The following is a 12204-nucleotide window of genomic DNA, read 5'->3' as shown; positions in this document are numbered from 1 at the left end:
TTTACAGGCTTATAGACAGAAGGGATTTGCCTTGTCTCAGATAAGACTTTGCACTTGAACTTCTGTATTAATGCTGGAATGAGTTAAGACTTTGGGGAACTGTTGGGAAGGTATAATTAGTTTTGAAATGTGAGAACATGAAATTTGGGAGGGGATAGGGGTGGAATGATATGGTTTGTCTGTGTCCGCACCCAAATCTCATTTTTAATTGTAATTCCCATCATCCCCACATGTCGTGGGAAGGACCCACTGGGAAGTAATTGAATCATGGGAGCGGTTATCCTCATGCTGTTCTTGTGACAGTGAGGGAGTTCTCATGAGATCTGATGGTTTTATAAGGGGCTTTTCCCCCTGTGCTCGGTGCTTCCCCTTCCTGCCGCCATGTGAAGAAGGACGTGTTTGCTTCCCCTTCTGCTATAATTCTAAGTTTCCTGAGGCCTCCGCGCCCTGCAGAACTGTGAGTCAATTAAACCTTTTTCCTTTATAAATTACTCAGTCTTGGGCAGTTCTTTATAGCAACATGAGAACAGACTAATACAAAGGCAGAAGAAACTCACAAGTGCTTTTTCAAGCCCTTGCTTACTGTCTGTGGGCCAAATGAAGTCACATGACTGAGTTCAAAGTTGGAGTGTGAGAGACTGGATGCAGAGAGGTCACTAACTGGGGCCTTTATAAGCTAACATATAACACAATATCAGGTTGTCTATTTTGTCATATTAAATTGATCAGTAGATTCAGGTGTTGCCTTCTCAATATGCCTATCTTTCAGGTAATGATGATACACCAATTCTATCATTACTTCTGCATTTATTGCCCTACACTTAAATTCTTCTGTAAAGGAGCACTTACCCCCTATAAATTATTTGCTTATGCTAAAATACAGGATGAATATGTATTTCCATGTATTTGTTATTTTCAGAATAGTGAATTGGTACCATAGCATTCCAAGGGGGCCAATGACTTTTTTAAAAAATTATCATTTTAAACTCATGGATTTTTAACCTATTTGAGAAATTTTGGTCCACTACAGTCATTATTCCTTTTCATACTTGATGTGGTTTGGCTCTGTGTCCTCCCCCATATCTCATCTTGAATTGTACTCCCATAATTCCCATGTGTTGTGGGAGGGACCCAGAGGGAGATAATTGAATCATGGGGGCGGTTTCTCCCATACTGTTCTCGTGGTAGTAAATAAGTCTCACAAGATCTGATGATTTGATAAGGGGAAACATGTTTAGCTTGGCTCTCATTCTCTCTCTTTCCTGCTGTGATGTAAGATGTGCTTTTTGCCTTATGCCATGATTCTGAGGTGTCTCCAGCCATGTGGAACTGTAAGTCCAATGAAACTTCTTTCTTTGGTAAATTGCCCAATCTTGGGTATGTCTTTATCAGTAGTGTGAAAACTAACTAATACAATATTCAAGCTGCCCCATCTTTTCCTAGTGGCAGTACCTTCAATTAGGCTCCTGTGTCTTTTTGATGTGATCCCAGATAGCCTTGTTGCTTCCTTATATGGCTAGATCTTCCAAGCTCATCCTGCTGCAGAGGTGGATTCAGCTGTTTCTCCAGAGAGTTCTGGTTCCTTTTACTGGGGAATATTTAAAGACTGCACAATATGGATTCTAGGAGATAGGAGTGTTAAACAACAGATTCTGTGTGAACAACATTGCAGTCTTGCAAATGTGGTAGACATGTAGGTGTAATCTGTTTGTCTTCTTTTGTAATATACTAACTTCCGCTTCATTCTTCTGGGAACAGCATTTCATCTTTTGGGACATTGCTTTTTTTCTCACTTTAGTCATTTGTTTTTAGTCATCACACTCTGCCTCTCCAGGTCTAAGCATAAGCATGTCACCAAAGTCCTCTGCCAGAATCTTTTGAACTGGAACAGGAGAAAGAATTAAGTTACCAACAAAATTTTGAGAGGTGCTGGAGCTGTCCATCAGCCATAATATCTACTGTGTGTAGGAGGCTGGTTTGATATCCCATATGGTTTGGCTCTGTGTCCCCACACAAATCTCATGTTGAATTGTAATTCTCAATGTTGGGGGAGGGACCTGGTGAAAGGTGATTGGATCATGGGGCGGATTTCCCCCATGCTGTTCTCATGATAGTGAGTTCTCACAAGATCTGATGGTTTAAAAGTGTGTGGCACTTCTCCTCTTGTGCACTCTCTTCTGCTACCATGTGAAGAAGGTGCTTGTTTCCCCCTTCACCTTCCGCTGTGATTGTACGTTTTCTGAGGCCTCGCAGTCATGCTTCCTATACAGCCTGTGGAACTGCGAGTCAGTTAAACCTCTTTTCATAAATTACCCAGTCTCAGGTAGTTGTTTATAGCTGTGTGAGAACAGACTAATATAACATCCTTGGTGAGTTCAGTGTCTATGGGGATATTCCATCTATTGCCTCTACCTCAGATATCTCTAACTTTCTCAAATGTGTTGGCTTGGACTTGTTGCCACTTTAGCCTCTCACTCCCATTACCATTATCTTAGAATGTTTCATTAACTGGAACTGCTCTGCCTCTGAAATTGTAACACTTGCAGCCACCTCACTGATCACAATCATTTCTTTCACCAGTGCTCTCACTTTGGTATTTATGATTCACAAATTTTATACCCTACTGAGATTGCTGGTCCCCTAACTTCTCAGGGTTCCTGCTATCTTCCCTTTCTAGCCTACCCTACAAAATGCCTATCTTTACTCATGCTCATTGTTCCTGGGTTCTTTTTCCAGAGCCTGCCTGCAGAAATGTCACTATAAAACAGTCCAACTCTCCCTTCTAATCTTGGGTCCTTTTGGAGAAAAGTACACAATAGTATGTGCCTATTAAAAAGCCACTAAAAATTCATGGTCTGAGGCCTCAGCTGAGATCTACTGTGTTGTCTGGCACTTTCCTCTCTGATATGGTTAGGCTTTGTGTTCCCATACAAATCTCATCTTGAATTGTGATCCCCATAGTCCCCAGGTGCAGAGGGAGAGACCTGGTGGGAGGTGATTGGATCATGGGGGCGCTGTTCCCCATGCTGTTCTCCTGATAGTGAGTTTTCACGAGATTTGGTTTTGTAAGTGTCTGATAGTTCCTCCTTCTCACGCTTGTTCTCTCTCACCTGCCGCCATGTTAAGATGTGCGTCAGGAGCTGGCCCCGCGGCTGCTGCTCTGCCCTTGATTGAGGTGCAGAGCAAAGTGAAGGGCTGCCCAGGTGAGGCCAGGCTGACTGAAAAAGATGGATACTACTATGCTGAATATGCGGAATCTGTTTGAGCAGCTTGTGCGCGGGGCGGAGATTCTCAAGGAAGGAAACGAACTCCAATTTATCCAGTTGGTGAAGGACTTTGAGGATTTCTTTAAAAAGTGGGAGAGGACTGACTATGAGCTGGGGAAATACAAGGATCTTTTGATAAAAGCAGAGACTGAGTGAAGTGCTCTGGATGTTAAGCTGAAGCATGCACATAATCAGGTGGATGCAGACATCCAAACGGAGAGCTGAGGCTAACTGCGAAAAGCTGGAGTAACAGATTCAGCTGATTGGAGAGATGTTCCTGTGTGACATATCTGGCAGCATTCAACTAAGCGGGGAGCAAAAATCAGCTTTGGCTTTTCTCAACAGAGGCCAACCATCCAGCAGCAATGCTGGGAACAAAAGACTTTAAATTAGCGATGAATCTGGTTCCATTTTATCAGGTATCAGCTTTGACAAGACTGATGAATCACTGGATTGCGACTCTTCTTTGGTGAAGACTTTCAAGCGGAAGCAGAGAGAAAAGAGGTGCTCTAGTAGCCGACAGTTTGTTGATGGTCCCTCTGGACCTGTAAAGGAAACTCGTTCCATTGGCTCCACAGTAGACCAGGGGGAATGAATCCATAGTTGCAAAAACTACAGTGACTGTTCCCAAGGATGGCGGGCCCATCAAAGCTGTGCCCACTATTGAGACTGTGCCATACTGGACCAGGAGCCAAAGGAAAACAGGTACTTTACAACCTTGGAACAGTGACCCCACCCTGAACAGCAGGCAGCTGGAGCCAAGAACTGAGACAATGTGGGCACGCCACAGAGTAACAGAGGGATGTGCCTGAATGACTTTGTCTCTAAGACGGTTATTAAACCTGAATTCTATGTTCCATGTGGAAAGCAGATAAAATTTGGGAAACTATCTCTGAAGTGTCAGGACTGTTGTGTGATCTCTCGTCCAGAATGTCGGGACCACTGTCCCCTTCCCTGCATTCCTACCCTGATAGGAACACCTGTCAAGATTGGAGAGGGAATGCTGGCCGACTTTGTGTCCCAGACTTTTCCAATGATCCCCCGCATTGTTGTGCATTGTGTAAATGAGATTGAGCAGAGAGGTCTTACTGAGACAGGCCTGTATAGGATCTTGGGCTGTGACAGCACAGTAAAAGCTGAAAGAGAAATTCCTCAGAGTGAAAACTGTACCCCTCGTCAGCAAAGTGGATGATATCCATGCTATCTGTAGCCTTCTTAAAGACTTTCTTCGAAACTTCAAAGAACCTCTTCTGACCTTTCGCCTAAACAAAGCCTTTATGGAAGCAGCAGAAATCACAGATGAAGACAACAGCATATCTGCCATGTACCAGGCTGTTGGTGAACTGCCCCAGGCCAACAGGGACACATTGGTTTTCCTCATGATTCACTTGCAGAGAGTGGCTCAGAGTCCATATACTAAAATGAATGTTGCCAATCTGGCTGAAGTCTTTGGCTCTACAATAGTGGCCCATGCTGTGCCCAATCCAGAACCAGTGACGATGTTACAGGACATCAAGTGTCAACCCAAGGTGGTCGAGCGCCTGCCTTCCTTGCCCCTGGAGTACTGGAGTCAGTTCTCAATAGTGGAGCAGAGAACATTGACCCCCTACATGTCACTGAAAACTCAAATGCCTTTTCAACACCAGATATTAAAGTGAGTTTACTGGGACCTGTGACCACTCCTGATCATCAGCTTCTCAAGACTCCTTCATCTAGTTCCCTGTCACAGGGAGTCTGTTCCACCCTCACAAAGAACACTCCCAGATTTGGGAGCAAAGGCAAGTCTGCCACTAACCTAGGAAGGCAAGGCAACCTTTTTGCTTCTTCAATGCTCAAGTGAAGTCACATCTACCTATTACTCCCAGCATTGATTGACTATAAGAAAGGATGCACCTGTACTCTCTGCTCTACAGCCTCCTCTTCTCATTACTATTTTTAGCATTCTCCAGGCTTTTACTCAAGTTTAATTTTGCATGAGGGTTTTACTAAAATTTTATATATCTCCCCTTCCTTCTCCTCGAGTCACATAATATCAGTACCTTGTTCTGGTCACTGTTGGGAGCTTTTAGATGAGACATCTTTCCAGGAGTAGAAGGGTTAGTATGGAATTGATTGTGATTCTTTTGGGGGAAGGGGGTTACTATCCCTTTGGCTTAAAGCCAAATGCTGCTCATGGAATGAACGATCTTTCTCTAGTTTCATTCAACTGATTTCCATGAGACAATGACAGAAACCCTACCTATCTGATAAGATTGGCTTGTCTCAGGGTGGGAAGTGGGAGGGTGGGGCGAAGAAAGGATTACACCAGAAGATTTAGGATGCCTCCTTCTAAGAACTGGAAGTTCTCATTCCCCATTATGAACTGAGCTATAATATGGAGCTTTCATAAAAATGGGATGCATTGAGGACAGAACTAGTGATGGGAGTATGTGTAGCTTTGATTTGGATGATTAGGTCTTTAATAGTGTTGAGTGGCACAACCTTGTAAATGTGAAAGTACAACGCATATTTATCTCTGATGTGCCATTGGCTGAACCTTGGGTTAATTTGGGGTCAAAGTCAGTTTTTCTTTTAAAATTGAATTCATTCTGATGCTTGACCCCCATACTCCCAACCTTGTCCAGTGGAGCCCAACTTCCAAAGGTCAATATGTCGTCCTTTGGCATCCCAACTAACAATAAAGAATAGGCTATAAGGGAAGATGGTCAATATTTTCTGTGGTAAGAAAAGCCACAGTCATTTTTTCTTTGCACTTTGGATGCTGAAATTTTCCCATGGAACACAGCCACATCTAGACAGATAGGAGGTTTTTCTTCTGTTAAAATTATTCTTAATTTCTGTAAAAATGATTTTCTTCTCTAGAATGTTTGACTTCATATTGACCCTTATCTGTAAAACACCTATTTAGAATAATATTTGGAAAAAAGTAAATAGCTTTTTCAAAATAGAAAAAAAAAAAAAAAAAAAGATGTGCCTCTTCCCCTCCTGCCATGATTGTTGTTAAGTTTCCTGTAAGTTACAAAGTTTCCCGTTGTAAGCCTTCCCAACCCTGCGGAACTATGAACCAATTAAACCCCTTTTCTTTATAAATTATCCAGCATTGGGCAGTTCTTTACAGCCGTGTGAAAACAGAATAATACATTCTACATTCTCTTACTTCTCAGATGGCTATTTCAGACCTTCCCCTAGCTCCTCTCCTCACTACAGCTTACTCTAGTCTCTTGCCCTCAATCTCAGCTGATGACCTCATTTTTAGCTTTCTGTTAACAATGACTCTGATTTGCTTTTAAGTGTCAGACACTGAGCAAGATGTTTTGAATGCATTATCGTATTTACACATCAAAATAGCGCTATGAGTTAGGGATAAATATCCCATTTCACCTAAGAGAAAATGGATTCTAAGAGAGGTTAAACAACTGTCCCATGAGTGTCCAGTATACTTGTATAACAAACCACCCCAGTTTATTGGCTTAAAATAATTAACTAGAATAATTTCCTATGAGTTCTGGGTCCATTGGCTGGTTCTGCTGCTCTGGACTGGACTCAGTCATGCATCTGCTGTCAGCTGGCAGGTCAGCTGGGATCTTGGGACAATCCTGCTTTATTCTATGTGGTCTCTTATCTCCTTCCATGGGCTACACCAGGTCTATTTTCACAGAAACCACAAGAGTCCATGAAATGAAGTAGAAACACCCAAATGTCCTTCAAGCCTCTGCTTGCTATCCTATGGGCTGAAGGAAGTCCCATGATTGAGCCCAGAGTCAGAATGAGAGTGAACTACAAAATTGTAGGGGGGAGGGAACTCATAAATTTGGACTATAAATGAAATTGATCTACCACACGTAGCTAATCAGTTGTACAGATGAATTTCAAACCCAGATCTCTTAACACAGAGCCCACTTTCTTTCCTCTATTCTCACGGCTTCTTCACCAAAAAAAACCCCAGAAATCATGAGGCAAGAATTCTAATGTTTTTCTTCCCCCTCCTCACAAAGTCTCTCTGAATCCATATATTTTTATCTCTTTTCTCTCATGTGAGGAAAAACTTTGCCCCTTCTTTGTTCAATTTTAATTGCCCCACTTGGACTATGGATCCTACTTCTTCCTTCCTCCTCAAGAACTTTGCTTCCTCAAACACCCCCATCTATCCTTGACCTTCAGCCTCTCCTCTGCAGTGCCCCTTTTCTCTCATCATATAAATATCCTTGACTCTTTCTTTTAACCACATGATTTCCTTTAGCTTTCCCTTTGTGTTTCTTCAACCTCCCCCTCTCCTCCTTTTACCTTCTATTGGCATTCAGCAGTCCATAAACTAGTTTCTGGCTCCCTTGCCCCCATGAAAAGAGGCTCTTGCCCAAGTCACTCATGATCAAGTTACTTTTTTTTTTTGGTCTGAGGCATTTTTAGAGTTAGTATATTAAGGTCGGTGAGGATAAGCTGTAGAAACCAACTCCTAAATCTTAATGGGATTACCCAATAAAAGTTTAGTTTTCATTTAGGTCATGATCTCCTCATGTATTTGCTTGTTGTCCTTCCTTGTGGTGACCCGGGGCCTTAGGCTCCTTTCATCTTGTGGCTCCACCATCTCCTACGGACTTAAGGCCCTCCACTGGAGCTCTGCATCTGGCAGCTGAGGAGTGAAGAGTGTAGTTGTTAGAAGGGGACAGGGCCAGCGAGAAATTTATCCTTCTACCTTTATTCCATCGGCCATAACACAGCCTGCAAGGAAGGCTGGAAAATACATTGTAGCTGTCTTCCAGTTGGAAAAATAAACTGGTGAGAATACAGCAGTTCTTTACCAAAGTCTGCCATCCTTCTTTCTGACACTCTCTCCTGTGTCTTCCATGGCACCATTCTCTCTTGGTTTGTCTTCAAATCCTGGCTGCTTATTTTCAGTCACGCACAGGTCCTCTTTCTTTTATTCACTTCCTTAAATGTTGGCATCCCCCTGCACTTTGTTCTTAAGTCATTTCTCTTCTCACTAAATATTCTCCCTGGAACATTCCATAAATAACCAGCAAATCTATCTCCATCTTTTTGTTCAGACCCCGATGTAAAACCTGCTGTTCTTCCTTTAAGTCTCCATTTTGGTAAGTGGGCATCTTCCCCGGTCACCAAACCAGAAAATGAAGTGATCCTACATTCAAGACCCTTATCCTCTATAACTGAGGGTCTCAGCCTCAGCACTACTGACATTTTGGGCCAGATAATTATTTGTTGTGGGAGAGGTTCTGCACATTGTAGGATGTTTAGCAGCATCCTTGGCCTTCAGCTGCTAGATACCAGTAGGGAACCCCTTCCCATGTTTATGACAATCTCAAAAAATATCCAGACATTGCCAAATGTCCCCTGGGGAGGGGGAGACTGTCTCCAGTTATCTCCAGTTAAGAACTGCCCTATAAAATCATCCAGTCCTACAGATTCAACCCTGGCAACATTTTCTTTCTTCATTTAAATCTTTTTGCCATTCATTTCTTTTTTTCTTTGAGACAAAGTTTCATTCTGTCACCCAGGCTGGAGTGCAGTGGCACAATAACAGCTCACTGCAGCCTTGACCTCCTGGGCTAAAGTGATCCTCCGACCTCTGCCTCCCAAAGTGCTAGAATTACAGGTGTAAGCCACCTCGCCTGACCCATTTCATTAAATTTCACATCATTTCGCCTCTAGATGTTTCCAATTGCCTCCTCTCCGGCTGTGGCAAGTTTGCTGACCCAACAGTAATTCTTGACTCAAATATTCCTTGCTACCATGCACTAAAGAAAAATGGAATACTTGTTTTTCGGCCTCATTTTCATCTAAGGATAGCCAGGTGACATGACGTTGCATGGAATATCAGGTTCATGAAGGGCAACTAGTTGAACTTAAAGGTTAACAGCAAAGCTTTGGAATCATCCAGCTTGGATCATTGCATCTCAGCCTCAACACTCTGATAGTTGTGCCGCCTTAGGAAAGTTACTTAAATTCTATGTGCCCATCAGTAAAACTGGGATAATAGTAGTACCAACCTTATAGTATTATTGTGAAGATAAATGAGTTAATATGTATAAAGTGTTTAGTATAGGCAAACCTTGTTTGTTTTATTCCACTTTGCTTCATTGTGCTTCACAGAAATTGCATATTTTACAAATTGAAGGTTTGTGTCAACCCTGCATGGCTATCACTGAGCAAGGCTATCAGTACAATTTTTCCAACAGCATGTGTTCACTTTGTGTCTCTGTGTCACATTTTGGTAATTCTTGAAATATTTTGAAAGTTTTCATTATTATTATATCTGTTATGGTGATCTGTGATCTTTGACATTATTAGTGTAATTGTTTGGGGGCACCAAGAACTGTGCCCATATAAGACAGTAAACTTAATTGATAAATGTTGTATGTGTTCTGACCACTCCACCAATTGGCTGTTGGCTGTTTTCCCACCTCTCTGCCTCTCCTCAAGCTTTCCTATTCCCTGAGACACAACAAGATTCAGCCAATTAATAAGCCTAGTTTGTAGGTGTTCAGGTGAAAGGAGAAGTCACACAACTCTCACTTTAAATCAAAAGCTAAAAATGATTAAGCTTAGTGAGGAAGGCATGTCAAAAGTCAAGACAGGCCAAAAGCTAGGCCTCTTGCACCAAACAGCCAAGTTATGAATGCAAGTGCTACTCTAGGGAACCCACACATGATAAGGAAATAAAAGAGCCTTATTGCTGATATAGAGAAAGTTTAAGTGGTCTAGATAGAAGACCGAACCAGCTACAATATTTCCTTAAGCCAAAGCTTTAACCAGAGAAAGGTCCCAACTTTCTTCAATTCTATGAAGGTTGTGGGAGGTGAGGAAGCTACAGAATAAAATCTGAAACTAACAGAAGTTGATTCATGAGGTTTAAGGAAAGAAGCCATCTCCATAACACAAAAGTGCAAAAGTGAAGTGCCAAGTGCTGATGAAGAAGCTGAAGCATGTGTTCCAGAAGATCTAGCTAAGATCATCAATGGAGGTGGCTACACTAAACAACAGGTTTTCAATGTAAATGAAACAGTCTTCTGTTAGAAGAAGATGCCATGTAGGACTTTCATAGCCAGAGAGGAGAAGTCAGTGCCTGGCTTCAAAGCTTCAAAAGACAGGCTGACTCTCTTGTTAGGGGATAATGCAGCCGGTGACTTTAAGTTGAAGCCAATGGTCATTTACTCTTATGAAAATCCTAGGGCCCTTAAGATTTCTTTCAAAATATTACTGCTGATTGACAATGCACCTCCTCATCAAAGAGCTCTCATGGAACTATATAAGGAGATTAACGTTGTTTCCACTTTGCTAATACAATATCCCTTCTGCAGCCCATGGATCAAGGAGTCATTTCAACTTTTAAGTCTTATTCTTTAAAACAATTTGTAAGGCTATAGCTGCCACAAAGATGATTTCTCTGATGGATCAGGGCAAAGTAAATTGAAAACATTCTGGAAAGGATTCACCATTCTAGATTCCATTAAGAACATTCATGATTCATGGGAAGAGGTCAAAATAATATTAAGAGAAGTTTAGCATAAGTTAATTCCAACCTTCATGCATTACTTTAAGGGGTTCAACACATTAGTGGAGGAAGTAACTGCAGATGTGCTACAAGTAGCAAGGGAACTAGAATTTAAAAATGGAACCCGAAGATGTGACTGAATTGTCCCAATCTCATGATCAAACTTGAACAGATGGGGAGTTGCTTCTCAGTGATACGCAAAGAAAGTGGGTTCTTGAGATGGAATCTGTTGGTGAAGATACTGTGAGCATTGTTGAAACAGCCACAAAGGATTTAGAACATTGCATAAACTCATTTGGTAAAGTAGTGGCAAGGTTTAAAAGGATTGACTCCAATTTTGAAATAAGTTCTACAATGGGTAAAATGCTATGCTATCAACTAGCATTTCATGCTATAGACAAATCTTTCCTGAAAGAAAGAGTCCATTGGTGTGGCAAATTTCATTGCTGTCTTATGTTAAGAAATTGCCACAGCTACCTCAATCCTTAGCAATTACCACCCTGGTCAGTCAGCAACCATCAATGTCAAGGCAAGACCTTCCACCAGCAAAAATATTATAACTCGCTGAAAGATCAAATGAACGTTAGCACTTTTTAGCAATAAAGTATTTTTAAATTAAGGTATATACTTTTTTAAAGACATAATGATATTGCACACTTAACAGACTACAGCAGAGTGTAAACATAACTTTTACATGCTCTGGAAAACAAAAAAAAAGTGTGACCTGCCTTTTTTTGATATTCACTTTATGGTGGTGGTCTAGAACTGAATTCACAATATCTCTGAGGTATCCTGTACTGTGCCTGGCTGCATGGTGACTATGATATGGTGATGACAATAATCATGTAGTCACTCTTTTCCCTGCTCAATCTCAAATTTTACTACTTCACATCCTATCCCCAACCACTATTCACCTTTAATATTCAGTTCAGGGCCCAGCGCAGCAGCTCATGCCTGTAATCCCAGCACCTGGGGAGACCCAGGTGGGAGGATTACTTGACCGAGGCCAGGAATTCCAGAAGTTCAAGAATTGTGTCTGCACTCCAGTCTGGGTGACAAAGTCAGATTCGGTCTTTAAAAAAAAAAAAAAAAACTCAACAACAACAAGAAAACTCAGTTCAGTGAGACTGCCTTTACTTTTATTTTTTTTATATCCATACGTTATTGGGGAACAGGTGGTGTTTGGTTACCTGAGTAAGTTCTTTAGTGGTGATTTGTGAGAATTTGGTGCACCCATCACCTGAACAGTATACATGGCACCAAATTTGTAGTCTTTTATCCCTCACTCCCTACTCAGACTTTCCCCCTGAGTCCCCAAAGTCCATTGTGTCATTCGTATGCCTTTGCATCCTCATAGGTTAGCTCCCATATATGAGTGAGAACATACAACGTTTGGTTTTCCATTCCTGAGTTACTTCACTTAGAACA

At 41.7% G+C, this 12204-nt stretch overlaps 1 long non-coding RNA gene and 1 pseudogene across 2 annotated transcripts in view; one reads left to right on the top strand and one right to left on the bottom strand.

The window, feature by feature from the left end:
* Positions 1–12204, bottom strand: part of DBX2-AS1 (DBX2 antisense RNA 1) — a 52118-nt gene that overhangs the window by 34529 nt on the left and 5385 nt on the right. The window lies entirely within an intron of this gene.
* On the top strand, positions 3168–5961 carry RACGAP1P1 (Rac GTPase activating protein 1 pseudogene 1; annotated as a pseudogene). Its single transcript, NR_026583.1, has one exon. The product of NR_026583.1 is annotated as a Rac GTPase activating protein 1 pseudogene 1 (transcript).

This window comes from Homo sapiens, chromosome 12, assembly GCF_000001405.40.
Source record: "Homo sapiens chromosome 12, GRCh38.p14 Primary Assembly".
NCBI lineage: Eukaryota > Metazoa > Chordata > Mammalia > Primates > Hominidae > Homo > Homo sapiens.
The sequence above is the reverse complement of the archived record's forward strand: the minus strand, read 5'-3'. Positions and strand labels throughout refer to the sequence as shown.